General features: G+C 34.6%; 2 long non-coding RNA genes across 3 annotated transcripts in view; one reads left to right on the top strand and one right to left on the bottom strand.

The window, feature by feature from the left end:
* Positions 1-21,678, top strand: part of NRXN1-DT (NRXN1 divergent transcript) — a 1,375,317-nt gene that overhangs the window by 297,137 nt on the left and 1,056,502 nt on the right. The window lies entirely within an intron of this gene.
* LOC105377627 (uncharacterized) lies at positions 1,104-20,460 on the bottom strand. Of its 2 annotated transcripts, none has more exons than XR_001739090.2 (3): positions 20,392-20,460; positions 3,778-3,912; positions 1,104-3,160 (listed from the first exon to the last, which is right to left on the bottom strand). It is a non-coding gene; the product is annotated as an uncharacterized LOC105377627 (long non-coding RNA). The 2 variants fall into 2 exon arrangements; XR_940082.3 differs by lacking the exon at positions 20,392-20,460 and adding an exon at positions 12,843-12,913 and having other exon boundaries at positions 3,778-3,928.

Genomic DNA, 21,678 nt, shown 5'->3' on the forward strand with positions numbered 1-21,678 from the left:
TTAAGAATAATTATAGATGGCTACAAAGTTGTGAAACTTGATGATGTCACCTTAATACAAAAAAATCCAAGAAATTTCAAAATCATCTCTTTTCTTAGGTAAGTAAAACTGAGAACTGGAAAGCTGTAGGAAGACTAGCCAAGGTCCCCTGGTCTCATGCTCTTGCTCTGTCTTCTCTGCCTTCTCTGTACAGCTATTCCTTCTCTCCATAGACTGGCTTTTTCTATTTTTCCATATATAAAGCAGCTACTCTCCACCTTCACTTCTCAGGTTTGCATCCACCTAAGTCCAAACAAACAGTCCTGATGGAATTACAGTCTTTCTCTTTCTCACTTCTAAATTCCTTGGAAGGAATTTCCAACTAGCCCAGGGCAGTTGCCTCTCCTTGATCATCTATGGCCAGGGAGCAGGAAGGACCCTGTTGGATAGCCCTGGTAGTACTCTATTTTATTTTCCTGGAGCATGGGGAAAGTGGGCATGTTGAGTGAATCTGTTATCAGAAGAAAGAGTATTATTAGGAGAGGGCAGGAACCTCAAATGATTGAGACTTCTTGTAATTTGAGTAGAATGATTGTGCTTTTAATCATGTCAGACTATCAGGACTAATTTAATAAATGGTCAAATGCCAATACTTTTTGACATGCAATAATTTGAAATTTAGTTGGGAAGATTATGGTTGTAAATCATGGGTCTCCACAATTGAAACAAAAATAAGCATATAAGAGAAAAATGATTCTCAAAACAAACTTATCAGAAGATAATAAAGGCCTTCACTATCTGTTGCCTACATTATGCTTACAATCAGTATGTTAGCTTGAACCTTCTGCTGATTCACAGCACCCTAAAATAGAAAATGAGATATTTAATGTAATTTTTGTCCCTATTTTAGGGCTTTTAGCCAGGCAAAGTTGAATGATGATAACTCACTCAAATAATTTGGTGGAAATTCTCCCTGGGAGATGAATATAAAGACAAATTCCCTCAAGCCTATGAAGATCAATTAAAAGTGGAAGGAAATTGGGATACATTTCATCATGTATTCATTTTTCGTTAGGCTACAAAACCATAAGAAAAAGTAAAAACTTGATTTTGCAACAGAACTGTTTCCTTTCTAAAAAAGTAATTTTTATTCAGGAATGCTTTGTCACGATCAGTTCAGCTAAAATGCCAGTGTTATACATGTTAAGTACAACCCATACAAAGTTTGGCAAACATTTGCATTACATGTGTTGTATTTAGTTAGGACAGCAATTAAAACAGGAAGTAAATAAACTGTATATACATATCTCTCTGTGCATAAATATAAGAGGATTTATTACCCATTCTGGGAAGAGGGTTGCAGGAGACATTAATATAAAAAATTAGAAAAGCATTGAAGATTATTTCAAAGAACATTTATGTTTCCTTGAAATGACTTCTTAATGGGATTTTCAGAACTCTCTGATGCTGAAGATGATCTAAGGCCGAAGATAGAAATATAATCACAGTGCTACACGCCTAGGCATTTGCTTACAAAGCGGGAAGTGGAATGTCTGTTCTGCACTGTCCCTAGTAGGAGAATAATAAGATTTCTGTGAAAGGCCCATTCAAATTTCAGCCACCACGCACAGTTTCTTTTCATCACTTATTGATTGGTATTGTAAGATCCTCATTTCTTTATAATGTGTAAAGGACTAGAGAATGAGAATTGTAGTTAGTATCATTTCCACTTACACTTACCAAGTGGATTTAATGGACATTAAAGATTGAACACACTGTAATAACATATTTCCTCATTGTTTAATCATTAATAATACTTGACAGAACTTTGTACATGTTGTAGTGTCAAAATTAAATTTTAATCATGGGAACATTCTATAAAGATCCAATAGTATCTTAAATAATACTTAACTAAGCACAGGAGAGCAGTACTTACAAAAGGAAATACTAAATGTTATGCTAAACTGGCTTCACACCATGTTTTTAATCTTCTTGATCTTTGTTAACTGCACAATTCTAATTTAGAATAAATGAGCAGATAGTTCATTTTGGCAAGAAGACAATAGCAGGAGCTATAAAAGGTTTCTGAAATTCCCAGGCAATAATTATTTTACTATACTTGTATCTGCAGAAGGGATTTGCACTAAGTTCTAATTGGAACTTGAACCTCCAACTACCTTAAGCTTTGAGGTACATGATGAAATTTTTTTGAGAAATCGCATAAACCAATAATTTTGTATTAATGCACATTTGTAAATAGTGTAAAAGTGTTTTATAAGAATAACAGAAGTGGCTGGAAAATAGGAGTTTGCCAGTAATTAATAAAAAATAGTTGGGCCGGGCGTGGTGGCTCACGCCTGTAATCCCAGCACTTTGGGAGGCTGAGGCGGGCAGATGACGAGGTCGGGAGATCGAGACCATCCTGGCTAACCCGGTGAAACCCCGTCTCCACTAAAAATACAAAAAATTAGCCGGGTGTAGTGGCGGGCTCCTGTAGTCCCAGCTACTTGGGAGGCTGAGGCAGGAGAATGGTGTGAACCCCGGAGGCGGAGCTTGCAGTGAGCCGCGATCGTGCCACTGCACTCCATTCCAGCCTGTGCGACAGAGGGAGTCTCTGTCTCAAAAAAAAAAAAAAGAAAAAAGAAAAAAAACAGTTAAAACATACTTTAGTTAAAAGAGGAGTCAAGCCGAATCAAGTAATACAGATATGGATAATTTATTTTGAAAAATTCCACTGACCATAATCCAGTACTGTGCATTACATTTCACTGAATAGTTTCCTATCCACTGAAGGTCAGGACTGGGCTATACCCGTGGAGTATCTGGGTGTTTATTTGGTGAGCTTCAAGCAACACTAATACCTTTCAACATTCAGCTGTAGCATTTATTGCTTAGCATTTTCTAACATAAAAAGTGAAACCATGTTGACATAAAAATGTAAGCATACTTAATAGACAACACAAAATTAAAAATTTGAAATAAATTGTATTTTAGTTGACATCATTGTATTCATGTAAGTACACAGTGAATATATTATGGGAGATTTTAATAACCTTGAGAAGACTGATCTTTCCATACAATGGCCAGGCACTACGGAATCTTTGACTGCCGTACTGATTAGGATTTAGTCAACTCAGGATCCTGCAGGGGTTCTCAACTTGGAGTGCATGAAATCACAGTTCTGTTGAAAGAAGTTAAGGAGTTCATGAACTTGCGGAGTAAAGTTTTTACATCACTATTTTCTATATATTGCTCATTCACTATGTAAACGTCGTGTATCAAGTACATAGGAAAAAATAAAGTTATGATGATTGTGGGGTTTACCTCATAGGATTTGGGGATGCCTATGCGAATATTTAAATCGCTTATCACAACGTTTTTCACATAATGAAAATTCTACAAGTGAAACCTGTGTTGATTATTTATAGTAATGGTAAGCCTAAATTGGAAGAGTTTTTGCAATTGACACAGTCAAAACATATTCCAAGTACTCCAATAGGCACCAGTTTTCTAAAATTAATTAAAGGATGAAAATACCAATCAGTGCATTAAGAAGGGAAACAATATTAAGAGTACAGGGCTGGGTGCAGTGGCACACACCTGTAATGCCAGCACTTTGGGAGAATGAGCTGGAAGGATAGCTTGAGGCCAGGAGTTTGAGACTAGTGTGGACAACACAGAGCGATTCTGTCACCACAAAAAATACAAAAATAATAACATTAGCAGGGCATGGTGGCATGCACCTGTGGTCCCAAGCTGCTTCGCTTAAAGAAGAAAAGAAAAGAAACGTATATTTACCTTACAGTTCAGGGAAGAGGACCACTACCTTCTTTTGGAAATGATTACCATCATCACTGAGATAATTTAATCTGTGTTATACCATGGCTTCTTCCACTTGCTCAGACAGTCACATCCATGGATGTAAGATCATTCCTAGAGAAAGTTAAGGCTACAGTTGTGTTAGGATTCCACAGCTGTGATGCTGTGGAAACATAGACTATAAATTGAGCTATAGCCATAGTTACAGAAAATTTTATAGACCACTTTTTATCTTTTATCTGAACAAGTTGTTATTGCCAACCAATCAACTGGCTTAGAATAAAACCAGATTTTAGCTGGAATATTATCAGAGACATTACCACATAACCTTGAAATATATAAATAGGAAGAATATCAAATCTTAGTCTTAGACTGTCTTGATCTTTCCCCTTTCTCACTCCCAGGGGAAAAATATCAGGACTTCCTATCTTTTTGGGTACTTGCAATAAAACCAAGAATACATTTTTAAGTAATTGTGGCTTTATTTTTGACATTTAACAAATAAAAATTAGAGTAAGAGAATATTTCTTTATCTAGCAGCAAAATTTGTCTCTGTTTCTCTCTCTTTCTCTTTTACTTCTATCTGAAAGACTATCCATTTAAGTTCTGACACATTTAAAAGGCTTATTGATGAATTTTCTGACTACCCAGATCTGGAACTGCAGTTGGGATAGGAGTGATTGGTTACATAAAAGAAGTCACATTCTAAACACAGGGATTACAAATAGGAGAGAAATTATTTTTTAAAATAAATAAATAAATAAACCAGTGGTAAGGCCAAAATAATGGAAAATGAAAAATAATTAAGCTAATCAATAGATGTCCACTACTTAATTTATGTGACTAGTTGTTTAATTTAAATGTTAAAATATGTTGTTGATTGCAATGAAAAGATACAATAACCTTTAATACATTTGCTAAAATATTGAAATTAAGAAGCTAATGAAGTAACTACTTGTTTGAGCTTTAGGCTGTGGCCACATATGTCAAGGAAATTATAAGGAGATCATTTCTTCTTCCTAATTCTCAATGTTAAATTCCTAAATAGGCCATGTTCCTTGTGTCCCTTGTGGGAGGAGTGAGAAAGTAGTGATGATTTATTTCTGGTTCATATTTAGATTACTGATCTCCTGAATGGTGGTTTCCTCCTGGAGTTTCTATTTTGGCTATATCTTGAATTTTGTCTGTTGCCTTCTGTTACTTTCAGGTTATTTAACCTGATTCAGCAAATGCTTTCAATAGTAAATATGCTTTTATGTCCTGCTTATCTATGTGGGTTTATATCTTTGTTTAGTTATAGCATCAGCATGCCTTACTTTCTTAGTTCATTGATAGATTTGAAATGAAAAATATTTAAAATATTTTTCCCAGGAATTTTAGTTGTTTTCAAAGAAAGAGAGTTGGCTGGGTGCGGTGGCTGATACCTGTAATCCCGGCACTTTGGGAGGCCGAGACAGGCTGATCACCTGACATCAGGAGTTCAAGACCAGCCTGACCAATATGATGAAACCCCGTCTCTACTAAAAAAACAAAAATTAGCCGGGTATGGTGGCATGCCCCTGTAATCCCAGCTACTTGGGAGGCTGAGACAGGAGAAGCACTTGAACTTCGGAGGTGGAGGTTGCAGTAAGCCGAGATCATGCTGCTGCACTCCAGCCTGGGCAACAAGAGTGAATCTCCGACTTAAAAAAAAAAAAAAATGAAAGCAAGCAAGAAAGAGAGTCTACCTTTGTACCTAGTTCATCGTTTTACTAGAAAGTGAAGTCTGGAAGTCAATTTTTAACTTTGATTTGTTGACCATGGCAACAGTTCTTTTTTTTGCACATGTTTCTTATGTTTTAGAAAAATTATCATTGACTGTTGTAGAAAGAGTTACATTGACACTTAGTGATTGAAGAAAGAGAGATAATTTAGGTAATAAATTCAATTGTCTAAGTAAGAGCTATTGAGAGTATAAACTAAACCTGGGTTAGATGAAATGAAGAAGAGGAAACAAATCCTAGAGAATCAAACACTTTTGAGTACAGAGATACAGGTGCATCAGCCCTAAGAAACTAAACACTTTATCTTGAATCCACATTTCTGGAAAATATCACGTAGTAGTTAGGCTATACTAAATTTAGCAGGAGGGCTTTTTGGAAGTAAATTATGTGTTGAATTGAATCATGATAAGTGTGAGCTGTTTCAAAGGTCTTTTCTTACTACAGTGGCATAGACTATTTAGTTCAATTACAGAATCAGAATTAACCTTACCAGGTGTCTTAGCAGATACAAAGTCTTGGATCTCAGCTAGTGGCAAAACTGTGGAGACTGGATGCCAATTGAATTACTCACTAGCGCCACCAAGATAAGAAAGTGTGTAATTTACCAAGTAAATATTGATTAGAGGTGTTTTGTAAAAATAATAATTTTTTGAAGACATTTAAAGATGCTCCTCAAAGCAAAGTGCACCAGCTATCAGGTGAAGGTCTGTCTTACAATTGTGTCCATCAAAATCGGAAATAACAAGAAAAAAATCTACTTAATATCTGTTCCAAAATTTGTTCCCTGGGAAAGTCTTCCTAGTGGCTCCAGGATTTATTAATCTAACCAGGTTTAATTCGTCTACGGATTTATTTCTGCACTACACAGTTAGTGTATTCTTCTAAAATAAGTTGTTTTCTCACCACAAACATTACAAATTGATCTCTTTGGAGAGGCAGAGTAATGGGAAGAGTGGTAACTTTGGAGACATTCAGACTGTGACACATTTGCTGGTTTTGAATCCAGCTCCATCAAGTCCTAGTGGAAAGACATTTTTCAAATGTCTCATTTCCTCTGGGCCTCAGTTGCCTAACATATTAGGGAAAAATGTTCTTACTTTGGGGGATTTTAAAAATTTGAGATAATATAAATCAACAAGTACAGTGGCTGACGTGGAGATTCTTGTAGGATGGCACTATGTCTGAAAATAAAATAATGGAAGTTATACAATTTCCTGAAGTAACAGTTTTTTTAAATCTGTTATTTGAGAGAATTAAACAATTGGATTTAAAGCCTAATTTACTTCAAAGTCTGTTTCTATGATGCTCCTGAATCCAATTCATATATACAATAATGCTAGATTTAAATAAATGACTGAATAAAAAACATATTGACTATTAGTTGTTAAAATACAAACAGCTGAATTTAACTTTCTTTAATTAAATTTTGAACTTTGGTATTTTAAGTTCCTTTTCTTTATGTGTACTGTGGATTTTTAAAGTTCTGCATACAAACTGATTTTTCATAAAATTTTTCCATTTAAATACTTCTATGTATGTGTAAACAGAAAAAATTCTGCTGTGGATAAGGAAAATCTTTTCTATTTTAAAAATTTTATCACATTGCTATGACAACCTAAATTTTCAAATTACAAAATATAGGATGGAGAATTTTTCTTCCATCTTTATTACCCATAAAGAGAGGTATTAGAGCTTATAAGATAAAAGGAAAGGGAAAGAGAAAAAGAGACAGTGAAGAAGAGGAGGAAAAGCTTAGTCAGGCAGTGCTAAGTGTGCGAATGTATATCATAATGACATGGTATAGAATGATGCACAGATTGAAGAGATCCTGGAATATGTAGAAGGAAGTAGCAGAAGAAGCAGAAAATGTCAGTATTTGCGCTGGTCTGTGGAGACATTAGAAGGAAAAGGTTTATGTTGAACAAGAAGATAATGTTTTTCCCAAAGCCATGAACAAGCAGTTATTGAATTCCTATTTTTTGCACTATGCTAGGCATTGCATGTTGCACAATTGGATAAAAGTCCTTGATCTTAAGAAGCTCAAATTTAAGATGTATGGGAAGGAAAGAACTAAGGAGAAATGGAGAAGGAAAAGAGAAAGGGAAAAATGGAGGAAAAGAGGAATAAGGGAATGAAGGGAAGAAGTAAAGATCATAAAATTAGGGGAGGACGTGCAAGAGAAAATGGAGAAACGTTGTTTTCCATGGAGTAACATTCAATGCAGGACTAGAGGAAGCAATGAGGTAATATTAGTGTAAATATATTGAGGAAAATCTTCTCGATTATTAAATTACATAGTTTTTTTTTCTGCCCCTTTCCCAGTAAACTACTCTTTTATATAGAAAAAACAAAAATCCAATGAAGTAAGACAGTCTACTTTATTCCAAAGGGAACTAAGTCAGGCTTTGTCTCTCTTCATTTGCAGGTTTTACTTGATACAGTTTATTATGTCATGGTAACATTCGTAATAAAATGTGATAATGCTACTAGACAAGTATTATGTACATAAAGCAGGCCTATTTTAATAGGTTAATAACTGTAATACAGTAGTTGAAATCATAGGCCAGAATTTATGTTTCTACGGTAAGAGAACTCATCATAAATAGCATTAGTTCTGCCAATTTTCTGCATAATTTTCTATCATATCTTTTAAATAATCCAAGAATATTTTCTGGTGGAGAAACAAAATGAATACCTTAACAGTAGAGATCTTTGATCCATGGAAACTGTATGGTATAATGAGAAGTATGAAGTCCTTGAAATCTAAGTCAAATCCTGACATGACTCCATTCAGCTGAAGTCATGTGTGATCTTGGGAATGTTACTTCACATCTCTGAGAGTCATTTCTCCATTTGCTAAAAGTAAATGATAATATCTGCCTCATAAGACCCTGTAGGGATTCTAAATTATGCAATTTGCTAAAATCCCTAGCATATGATAAGCTTTCAATATGTGTTACACATTTTACTGTTACTCTTTGTCTCCATCCAAGCCTATTAATCATTAAATTTCTAATCTATTTCTTCATTTGAATAAGAAAAGAATGTAAAGCAGATTGTTCCCCTGCAATTTAAAATATATCACTCACATCACTTGGTGCTCACAACAAAATGACCGTTCTTCACCCTGCCTAATGACCTGTGTGATGTGATACCCCCTTACTTTACCAAACCTGCCATCTACTACTGTCCCATGCACTGTCTTACAGCCTCTCTGGATGTCTTTCTGCATTTCAAATTTATCAAGTTCCTTTTCTCCTAAGGGCTTGTGCCCTTGTTTCTCCCTTCCTCTAAAATGCTCTTCCTTTAGTCCTTTCCATGGCTGGATAGTTCACAAAATTTAGATCTCAACTCAAATTTCATATCCTTAGTGATGCCTTTTTTGCCTGTGCAAATACAATGACTTCCTAGTTCGTTCTGACCCACCAACTTGTTTGTTACATTCATGGTACTCATCATAATCTATAATCATGTACTTTTTTATTGGTTGATATTCTGCTGTCATTACTCATTAATAATATATTAAAAGGTGAAAGACAAAAGGCAGGCCTGTGCCAATAGCTATAAAATTTCTCAAACTAAGGGATCCACAGCACACTTCAGATTTTTCTAACCCCAGAATGGGAAGCAATTTGATCAAGAAAAATTCTACTCCTTTGTTTTTAAGATACTAAAAGTCTAAAAGGTGAATGAGCCAAAAGGAAGGAAACAGGTTTCCCAAGCAGGAGAAACATTTGCAAAAACCTTCTATGGAGACAAGAGAGATGAGAGAGACTATGATGAGTATGAGAAATTACAGAATTTAGCTTAGATGAAGGATTTTAGTGGAGAGGGGACATAGTATGAATTGATATTGGAGAATAAGCTGAGGGAAATGAGAGTCATGGGGTTACCTGTAAGCATCAAATAATAGATGTTAAAATAACTTCAGATAAGATAAAAATGATTTAAGTGTAAGGCATTCATTCATTTTAGAAGGAAAGAGAAGCAAAGAGAGGTGCAAATAACATTGGTTCCAGCAAAGTCTACTGAGATGATGGGTTTGACTCTACTAGAAACAAGTGATTTTGAGTAAGTCACTTAAGGATTGAAGACACATGTATAAGGAATAAGCAACTGAATCGGTGATTTTTAAAGTTTATATTCTGCTTTAAAACTCTGGACATATACAGTACAGTCTAGCACTTGCCCATCATTCTTTCTTGCAAAAACTTTCAAATAAATGATAATGAATATTTTGTCTTTTGTCTAATCTTAACCATCCTTGTAGATTTTCACTTCCTGTATCTCATTAATGTTTATCAATTGGTTATTCCTTTTATTATAAAATAGCACCTTCTTATGTATGGCTTGTAGGAAGACAATGATAAAATTTCTATGCCTAGTGTATAACCTCATATTTGTTTTATGATTCTTTATATTAATATTTGAACCTGCCCTAAGTTCTAAACTCATATAGTAGTCTAGAAACCCTGTCCATGTGTATAACATTTAGATTTCTGTTTCAAAAATATAAATGCATGTTTACTAAAGTGAAAAGAAACTGATGAACAAAGTAGAACAGAAATTGTGATTGAGGTCACATCAACAATTTCAACAAATCAACAAAGGCATTACAGGGAATGAACTTAGTTCCTTCCTAATAGCATTTCGGCTGGTTTCCATATTGCTCTTTTTTTCTGTTATTATGCGGTTAATGCAATCTAATTCAGTAATGTCTTCTGAATGATTAAGCCATTTATGATTGAACCTGATGAAGGAAATGAGAAAAGCCTCTTAAACATCTAAATAGGATAATTTGTATTAACTGCTGTAAATCACAATCAGAATGCTATTGAAGTCAACATTTTACTCAGGTACAAATATTTCTAGAATTGAGAATGTTCATCAATATTTGTAATGAAACTTAGAAAAGAAATTAGGACTCTTGACATTATAACTATTTTTATAGTTTGCAGAGTTTTCTCTCTGAATATTTTGTGGTGCTATTAGTGCTCCCTCTTCACGAACAGCAAGTGAAAACATTAGGCTAAGCAGTGAATTGTTCATGCCAGTGCCCTTCCATATATCAAAGGGAGAAAAATAGACATCATAGAGAGATAGGATCTGATATACAATGTTTTGCAGAATAATTCATGTTATGAAGTGTGTAGGAAGGTACATCAATCTGCAAATTAGTTAGAATTTATCTTTTTTTAATTTACCACTTTTTAAAAATATATTTGTCATTATTTTTAATGTTAATGAACATTTTCCCTCATATACATTTAACAAATATTAATATATTTGAATAATAAACATGAATTAATTATTCTAGAATGTTTTCTTCTGTTAAAATAATCCCTGAATGTGCTTTCACAACTCTCACACTTTTAAATAATTTGTACATGGTCAAAGATGAGCACTGTACTGATTTTTTAAAAATCTAGAACGAGAATCTGTGTCGTAACCTATACAAATGGGGACATGACTCCAGGCTTTGGTTCCAGGCTCAGTTGATGCCAGGCAAGATTAATGCATATCTGCCACTGCACTTTGATGAATAGAATACTCATCAGTGTGGGTTGTACAATAACAAGGCTGCGTTGTGTTGTGATAAGGTGATATTATAGAACGTTTGGGGCTTTTTATTTAGATGCTTTACATGCTTTTGTGTGTGTGTGTGTGTGTGTGTGTGTGTGTGTGTGTGTGTGTGTGTGACAGAGTCTCGCTCTGTTGCCCAGGCTGGAGTGCAGTGGCAAGATCTTGTCTCACTGCAAGCTCTGCCTCCCGGGTTTAAGCAATTCTCCTGCCTCAGCCTCCCACGTAGCTGGGATTACAGGTGCGTGCCACCATGCCCGGATAATTTTTGTATTTTTAGTAGAGACTGGGTTTCACCATCTGGCCATGCTGGTCTCAAACTCCTGACCTCGTGATTCTCCTGTCTCAGCCTCCCACAGTGCTGGGATTACAAGCATGCGTCACCGCGCCTGGCCTTAGAAGCTTCTTATCTAAATATGTATTATCTACAAATATTTATATAAATATTTTTAAAGTTTAAATATATGTGCAATGAATTACTTTAAAAGAGGATATTTCACCGAGGTAAATAAAATAATTTTCCTTGAACAAGATTTAAAAAATAATGAGGGGGTAAGGTCAATTAAGATTTGTATAAAGTGACACTACGAAGACCTGTTAATTCTTCAACGAGTGCTGATAGAACATAATCTGTATAAAATGAAAGAACACAATAAATCCCATATTTCTGCACAGTCTCTCAAAGCAAGCATGTGTGCTCTGTAGATTTTATGCAGTTCTGCCCTTAGACCTAGGCAAGCAGGACTTCTGTCTTGGATCCTATGCCTCTGGGGGCTTCATGTTTCAGAATACCTTCTTTGAAGTATTCTAAATTCCTTCCCCTTCAGTGTCTGGGACAGGGCCAGGCTAGTGGTACTTTCTGGATAGGGTACCTTATATTTGGACTAGGAGCCACATGGGCCCTGGGGAGCTCTTCAACCCTTTGTCTCGTGTGTAAAGTTGGCCAGCTACCCTGGTAGCTCTGGGACACATTCATTCCTCTGGGGCTGTCCAAAGACCTTGCAGTCAGGTCTCAATTGTAGTACGGTACCACTCTGACGGAACCATGTTAAGACTGAGTCACCAGTATGGTTCTGACAAGGTTAACTTATGTGGCTTAAACTGTATATGTAGATAGGAACACCACAAAAAGTTCTTGTCCAGGGTCTTGAATACTCTAGGGGCAACCCTGATTACATGCCATTAAAGCTTAACTTTCCTGTTGATAAAAATTATACAATCTTCAATGTGATTCATGCTACACATTTGAACAATAGATCTGTGATACCTGACAAGGTACAATGTCATTTTGAAGCAAACACAGTGAACATGAAAATAAATCTCTTGGTTTCTTTCATCAAAAATAAAACAAGCTAATGTTTTGAAACATTATGCCAATAAATTTTGAAGCCAACGATGAAAATGTTATTTCACCACTACTCAGGGAAGTTACTACATCACACATCAGGAAGAAGCATACACAATTAGGAAAAAATAAATATTGAATCTGTCCTAATGATGGAGTGGTTTTCTTGTGAACTTTTGTTACAAAACAAGCCAGTCCGAAACCCAGTGGCTTACAGCAACAGCCATAAGTTATTTTACTCACATGTCTTCAATTTGAGTAAAGTTCATAAGGAATGGCTTTCATTGTTCCACACGGCATCAGCTAAAGCATTTCAGATAGGGCTGAAGGATCCAATTCCAGCATGGTTCACTTACCCGGTTAGCAAAATTGATATTGGGTGTTGGCTGAAATCTCAGTCAAGGCTGTCAGCAGGCCTCAAATCCTCTCTATCAGGGACTTTTGCTAATTGGACTTACTCATAGCATGGCAGCTGGGTTTCAAGAGTGACTGTTCCAAATGATGAGAAATAAAAACAGTCAGTATCTTCATTTTGGGGACAAGAAATTGGCTCAGTATCATTTGTGGGATATTCTGTTGGTCAAGGGAGTTGCAAAGCTCCTACTTGTGATTCAAGAGGAGAGGACAGGTACCCCATTTTTCAATAGGAGCAATGTCAGAGTATCTGTGACTAGCTTTAATTTACTACAAGACAAGCAATTAACCATAAAAATACAGTTAGAATCATTGTCTAATTTCAAAGAAATTGTCTAGAATCCAAAGGAAAACTTTCCATTCTAAACGATGTAGTGTGAATAAAAGAAGTTTAAAAATGCCTTTGCTGTTAAGGGCCAGTGAAGACACGCAACCAGAAAATGATACTGAGTCTATGGAAATAAGTAAGGTAAGTAAGGAAACTGTTGTTTCATGCCATTGCTGAGCTGTTTGGAAAACTTCACCTGGAGCTACACTGTGTCTGAAACTTACAAGTATATGAACAGCTACATTTCCCACATTGTTTAATTTCAGTGAGCTTTACTGTTAGTTGCAACTAAGGTTATACTACCTAGTACTGCCTTTTAAAATGTATAGAGCCAGGCTGGATGTGGTAGCTCATGCCTATAATCCCAGCACTTTGGGAGGCCGAAGTGGGTGGGTCACCTGAGGTCAAGAGTTCTGGATCAGCCTGGCCAACAAGGTGAAACCCCGTCTCTACTAAAAATACAAAAATTAGCCGGGTGTGGTGGCAGGCGCCTGTAAACCCAGCTACTTGGGAGGCTGAGGTAGGAGAATCACTGGAACCTGGGAGGCAGAGGTTGCAGTGAGCTGAGATCTTGCCATTGCACTCCAGCCTGGGAAACAAGAGCAAAACTCCGTCTCAAAAAAAATAAAAAATAAAATAAAATAAGATAAAATAAAATAAAATGTATAAAACCAGAGGGCCAGGAGTGAAAGTGACTCTTCAAACATTAAACAACGATGTGGCAGCAGAATTAGTACTTAATCTAGTGCTCCTTCCACCACACTGTTGTGCTTTTCCGATTTCCGTATTTCACACCTGGTATTTTCATCCTGTGCTACATTTCTGCTTATATCTTGAAGTTGCTTGAAATATTTGCTTGAATAAGGCAGGTATAAAATAAATAAATAAGTTAAATAAATTGCCGCAACAAATTCTTTAGAAGTTAACACAATTACTTGCAGATCCATTTTTATAGTGAATTTTCTTACTTATGGCCTTTGTAAAGACAAATCATACAAAGATATCTGGGTCAAATACCAGTTGTTGAATCAGTTGAAGGTCTGCAAAAGTCAGTAGTGCAGTGTTGCAATGAACAGTTTAGTGTTTTCCCTTTAAAATGTTGTCTGAGAATTGTTTTCAGATTTGAAAGTCCTGCCTAAAGCCTTTTGAAACAGATTCTTCTGAATGTAATATTTTTCTGTTCATCATTAATTGTCTTTTGGAAAATGATGTAAATGAGTTTTACCACAGGCAAGATGGGGGCTCAGTTACAATTCCTTCCAATGCTAATGGCAGATTTTTGAGAAAACAGTAATGCTTCATAAGAGGACTTCAAGTATCTAGAAAGAAATCGTGAAAATTCTTGAGTATTGAATTAATAAACCCTAATGCTAATATTATTACTATATTACTACTAAGAAAATGAATAATGATAATCCACACATTCATTCATTCATTCAAGTAGTGTTATTGAGCCCCTTGAGTTATAAGAGAGACCAAATTATGTGAAGAATAATGTACTAAGAGATTGAGGTGGGAAAGATCTTAGTATATTCCAGTATATTGGTTAACAATAGTAGCTAGCATTAATACCTTATTTATTATGTTCTTGAAACTTATAATTCTATTTGCAGGCATTTAATTCTTACCATCATCTTATCATTTAGTTTCTATGCCTATATTCTTTTTGGAGATGAAGAAACTGAAATGTTGTCCACTTCTATATGTATTTATGGTGAGACAAGTGCTTTATGGTGGTTAAATATATCACAAGGTAGTAAATAAAGAAGGCAGATTAAAAGCAAAAAGAATATCAAAGTTTTGCTGTCTGAGGTAAATAAAAATTTTTACAATAATTATCTCTGATGGTAAGCCTATATATAATATTTATTTGCTTTATAACTTCATGTATTTTCCAAATTTGTTTTTTAAATTCATTTCTTACATTTGTGTGATTTCTATAATAAAAATAGATAGTATTTAAACACTTAAAATAGGCACACAAAACAAATGTAAAAACCTAAAACTTGGCTAGATATCCTTCATATTCTGCCTACATGAGTCTAGCTTTGAATACTGCTGAGAAGGAAGACGATCAAGCCACAGGGTCAACTTACACCAATACTCAATGAGTCTTGAAAGGCTCAGGTTGGATAAGCCCCAAAATATTCAGCTGTGCAATTGAAACTTAACCCGTATCATCTAACCCTCTGAGGTTTATATTGTAATACTGAAGATAAAATATGGCTGAACTGAGTAGATAAAAGCCAGAAGTATAGTTAAACTCATTTTTTCTTATAGAATTTTGAATTTATTGGTGCCATTATTACTAAAGGCATTTTAATAATATAAATTAAAATATGAATTAAGTTATAAGCTGGAAAGTGTTTATGTTTTTACTTTTAATTACAGCTTAAAAATGGCATCAATATTTGTTTTTCCCTGTCGATATAATTGATAGGTATTTATGTAACCACACTTTCACACAGATATACACACATGCATATATATAATATATATTATATTATACATAATATATTTACTATTAAGTATTTGTATAATATATATTATGTTATATAGAATATATTTACTAAGTATTAATAGTAAATAAGACTAGTTTTTAATCTCTTATTTGTTGTTTGATTTAAAAAATCAAATAAGAGATTAAAAACTGTAGTAAAACTTTATGCATATTGCGTATCATTCAGATACTTATTTGTGTAGGTACACATACAGAGATAGCAGTTCAGCACTGTTATATGTCCATCTATTTCTCTCAGATAACACAACCTACATCAAACAAATATACTGCTTGCTCTTAGTATACATAAAATTCTGCTCTCCAAATTGATTTTTGACTAAAGGTAGTAAATATTTTTGCTTGACAATAAAAATAAATCTTTGTCATCAGTTTAAATACCTGCATACTATTTCATTATATGGCTAAATTATAATTTACTGAAATTTTCTTTTAATGATGTACATTTAGATTATCCATTACATGTCACTAGGTAAAGTACATTCCTAAAAGGAAGACAGAACAATCACCTGAAGAATTATTATGAAAATTGTTTAAATAAATGTATACCAAAAATTGGTACAATATCAGATGCACAGCAGCTAAAATATACATCTTTCAGATGAGGAATATAACCAAAGAGTCTACTATAAAGTAGGATATAATGCAGATGATCACCTTGAACACTTTCAAACTAGGACCAATGTAAGCAATTATACAAGTGAGAAATGTAGAAGATCTAAAAGCTGAGACCTAACATATATTATTTTAAAAATTAAAGGTTAGTACACAGAAGACAGATTAGGTCCTTGCATATAGTATCAGGAGATAAAGCTAAGATCAGCAGGGGAAGTTGCATAGAGAAAAATAATGGCTCTGAATTACAATGGTTCCAAACCTCTGTGGCTGAATAAAATTGCCTCAGCCACTCAGCTTCTGGCTAGAACGGAGTAACAGAGAGCCTTTTCGCTCTTTCATCCGAAGCAACCAAAAAGTCAATGAAAATAACTATTCAGTGGTTTGTAAGAAAAGGTAAATGAAACAACAAAGGACAGTGGTCACTACAAGACACGAAACACATCAGGTAAGCTCTGATTGCCCCAGCGTAAGGCCTTCAGAGGTAATATACTGTTTAAACAAACAGGCAAAAAAGAAAATGTAATATGGGATTTTTAAAAATACATTTAAAAGTAAAATGTATCCCAGTAACAACATGGACATGTGGAAAGGAGACATGGAAGTACATTATAGTAAAGTTGTTATATGTAAAATGGTATATCACTTGAAAGTAGACTGAAACGTTAAAGATGCATATATAAATGCTAAAGCAACTACATACATAACAAAGATTTATAGCAAATAAGCTATGAAAGGAGATAAAACAGAATTATAAAATATTTTCAATTTCTTTCCAAAGAGGACATAAAAACCTGTACAAAGTACAGCTGGGACAAATAGAAACAACTGTGTGCTTATAGAATAAAACCTAACAATACCAATAAATCAATTAAATAGAAAATGTCTAAATATTCCAACGAATTTGGAGATGGTCAGATTTGATTAAAAAAATAAACAAGTCCAAGCCTATACTGGCTACAAGTAATGCACTTTAAATATAGAGTCAAATATATTAAAAATTAAAGGATGGAACAAATGCCATGCCAACACCAATCAAAGGAAAGCTAGCATGCCTGTAAGATCAGGAAAAGATATCTTAGAGGAAAAAATATTAACAGAGAAAAAAATGTCCCTGATAAAAGGTCAGTTTGTTAACAGGACATAAAAATTCTAAATGTTTATGTACCTAATAACAGAACTTCAAAATACATGCAATTAAAACAGAACTTTCAGGAGAAACAGACAAATCCAAACTTACACTAAGAAGTTCAAATAGCACCTTTCAATAATGGCTGAAACAAGTAAATAGAACATTAGTAAACATAAAGATTTGAGCAACACTATTATGCAACTTGACCTTATTGACCTTCACAGAACATTGTATTCAACAAGGATAAAATATATGTTACTTTTTAATGAATACACTTCAGATTGACCACATTTTGGGCTATAAACCAGTTGTAATAAGTTTAAAGGAGTTCAAGTTATTCAAAGTATATTCTGTGACCAAAATGGATTTATATTAAAAATTAATAATAGAAGATGCTTAGAAAACCCCAAATATTGGAAGACTAAATAAAATTCTATTACCTTATGGGCAAATGAAGAAATCTAACTTCAGGGCCAGATGTATTTATTGGTGAAATCTATGCAACATTTAGGAGGAAATAATACCAGTTCAACACAAACTTTTCCAGAATATTGAAGAAGAGGGAATACTTTATAATTTATTGTATGATATCAGCGTTACTCTGATATCAAAGTTATAAAAAGTCGTTACAAACGAAGAAAAGTACAGACCAATATATCCTATAAATATGAATGCAGGCCTGGTGCACGCTTATAATGCCAACAATTTGGGAAGTTGAGGAGAGATGATTGCTTGAGGCCAGGAGTTTGAGACTATTCTGGGCATCATGAAGAGACTCTGTGTCTACAAAAAATGTAAAAATTTAGCCTGGCATGGTGGCAAGTGCCTGTAGTCCTAGTTATTTGGGAGGCTGAAGTGGGAGGATTGCTTGAGCTCAGGATTTGTAGGCTGCAGTGAGCTGTGATCACCCCACTGCATTCTAGCTTGGGTGAAAGAGCCCCCTCTCTAAAAATAAAAATAAAATGTTACATAAAATTTTAGCAAATCTAACAATATATAAAAATGATACTACATCATAACCAAGTATGCTTTTTTTTTCTTTTTTCTTTTTCTTGTTTTTTTGTTTTTTTTTTTTTGAGACGGAGTCTCCCTCTGTTGCCCAGGCTGGAGTGCAGTGGCGCGATCTCGACTCACTGCAAGCTCCGCCTCTCAGGTTCACGCCATTATCTTGCCTCAGCCTCCCAAGTAGCTGGGACTACAGGCGCCTGCCACCACGCCCGGCTAATTTTTTTTTTTTTTTTTTTTGCATTTTTAGTAGAGACGGAGTTTTACCGTGTTAGCCAGGATGGTCTCGATCTCTTGCCCTCATGATCTGCCCGCCTCGGCCTCCCAAAGTGCTGGGATTACAGGCGTGAGCCACCGCGCCCGGCCCCAAGTATGCTTTTTAATAAGATATTGGTTTAACAATTAGAAATCAATCAATGTAACATCAATTCTTGATTAAACACACACACACACACACACAAACGCACACACACACACCTCATGGCAAACTTGGAATACAAAGAAACTTCCTCAACTTGATAAAGAGCATTTATGGAAAACCCATAACTAATATATTTAATGTTGAAAGACTGCCCTATCCTAAAAACTGGCAATGAGGCAATAATATCTGCTTTCTCAATTCTATCATTATTGTACTGGACTTTCTAATTAGTGCAATCAAGTAAGGAAAAGAAATAACAGGCATCCTCGTCAGAAAGAAAGAAGTAAAATTGTCTATTCTTAGACAATATGAATGCTTTCTTAGGAATCTAACAGAATCTACAAACAAACTATTAGGACTAATAAACGAGTTTAGTAAGGTTGCCAGATACATTAATATACAACAATCCATTTGATCTCTTTGTATAAGGAACACACATTTTAAATTTGAAATTTGAAAAATATTATTTAGCATCAAAAAATGAATACTTAGGAAAAACTTGAAAACATATATAAAAGACGTATAATACCAGAAAACACAAGGCACTGTTTAGATAAGCTAAAGTGTACCTGAACAAATGGAGAGATATGTCATGTTCATGTGTCAGAAGATTCAGTATTGTTAAGATGTAAATTCTCTCCTAATTGATTTATAGGTTCAAAAAAATCCCAATAACAATTTCAGTAGCCTCTTTTTGTAGAAATTAGGCAATTGATTATAAAATTCATATAGAAATGCAAAGACCCAGAATATCCAGAACAATTTTGAAAAAGAATGAGGTTGGAGGACTAATACAACTTGATATCAAAAATTATTACAAACCTCTGGTAATCAAAACAATGCAGAATTAAGATTAAGGTAGACAAATGAATGAAATGAAATAGAGGGTTCAGAAATAGATATTTGTAGATAAGTGTTTTCCTAAGTATGGAAAAACATCTCAGTGGAGAAGTGATAGTCTTTTGAAAAAATAATGTTGAACCAATTGGCCATTTACCATTTACATGCAAGAAGAAAGAACTTTAATTCATTTCTCATAGCATATACAAAAATTGAATGAAAATGGATCACGGGTCTTAAAATTGGGAAAAGCAAAGTGAAATGAAAGATAAGAAACAACCATTATAATTTTGTGCTGGGCAAAAGTGTCTTAGCTATAACACCAAAAGTATTGCCACAGAGTTTTTGCTCTATAAAATATATGAGAATGACATAGAAGAAAAGGAAATATTTGCAAATCACATATCTGTGAAAAAGTTTGTAAATACTAGGTAAAGAACTCTCAAAACAGAATACAATATTAAAAACAGGCAAAAGATTTTACAGGAAGCTAACAAAGGAAATATTAGAATATCAAATACACACATAAAAAGATACTCAACTTCGTTAAACCCAAGGAAACACAAATTAATACAAAACTGAGGTATGAAAACAAATTATTAAATAAATAAAAATAAAAAGTTTGTACATACCAAATTTGGCCAGGATATGGAAGAGCTGGAACTCTCATACATTTCTGGTGAATGTATAATGTTGAAACTAATTTGGAAATTATCTTGGCAACTTCCTGAAAAGTTAAACATAACATATCATATGATTTACGTCACCCCACTTGGAGATATTTACTCAGGAGAAATGAAAGCATTTGTACATACTAGGGCTTATATCAGAAATATCCATAGTCCTTTTATGATAGCTGAAAAAAGAAACAAACCAAAGGCTCATCCACAGATGAATAAATAAACTGTTATCTGCTCATGTAATGAAATGCTATTTAGCAATAAAAAGGAATAAACTGTTGATATACAAAAAATAACTATGATTCATGAAAGAGGCAAGCCTAAAAAACATCATACTTTATGATTTCATTTACATGAAATCTAGGAAGTACAAACTATCATCTAGTGAAAGAAAGGAAATCACTGGCTGCCTGGGAATCGGGTAGGGAAAAGAGGGGAGGAAAGGATCACAAGAAGCACTAAGAAACTTGTGTAGGTGATGGATATGTTCATTATTTTGATTGTTATTATAGTGTCATGGATGTGTACTTATTTTAACGTTTATCCGGCCGGGTGCAGTGGCTCACTCCTGTAATCCCAGCAATTTGGGAGGCCAAGGCGGGCGATCTCCTGAGGACAGGAGCTCGAGACCAGCCTGGACAACATGGTGAAACCCCATCTCTACTAAAAATACAAAAATTAGCCAGACGTGGTGGCATGCGCCTGTAGTCCCAGCTACTTGGGAGGCTGACGCAGGAGAATTGCTTGAACCTGGGAGGCAGAGGTTGCAGTGAGCTAAGATTGCACCACTGCACTCCAGCCTGGGTGACAGAGCAAGACACCATCTCAAAATAATAATAATATAATAATAATAATAATAATAATAATAAAGTTTATCCAATCGTACACCTTCAATATGTGTAGTTAACTGAATTTGGTTATACTTCAATGAAGCTGTTAAACAAAAAACACTTCGTAGACAATGAAGTATGTTCAAAGATGGAGTAGACTGGTACAGCATTTTAAATTAAATGTGTTAGACATAAACAGCATGTGTCATATGACTATATTTTCCTTTTACATTTCCAAACAATAATATTCTAGGATGATAGCTGCATGCCACCATTTATGAGCTCATTCTTGTCAAATGCTCTCTCCATCAAAGATTTGAATTTTCCTGTGGGTGAGGAAAGTTATCATTTTAGGAAAAATAAGAATGGTTCTGATCATGTGATACCAAAACCTACAATTCAGTCCAAA

The sequence above is a fragment of the Homo sapiens genome, chromosome 2 (assembly GCF_000001405.40).
Source record: "Homo sapiens chromosome 2, GRCh38.p14 Primary Assembly".
NCBI classification, from domain to species: domain Eukaryota; kingdom Metazoa; phylum Chordata; class Mammalia; order Primates; family Hominidae; genus Homo; species Homo sapiens.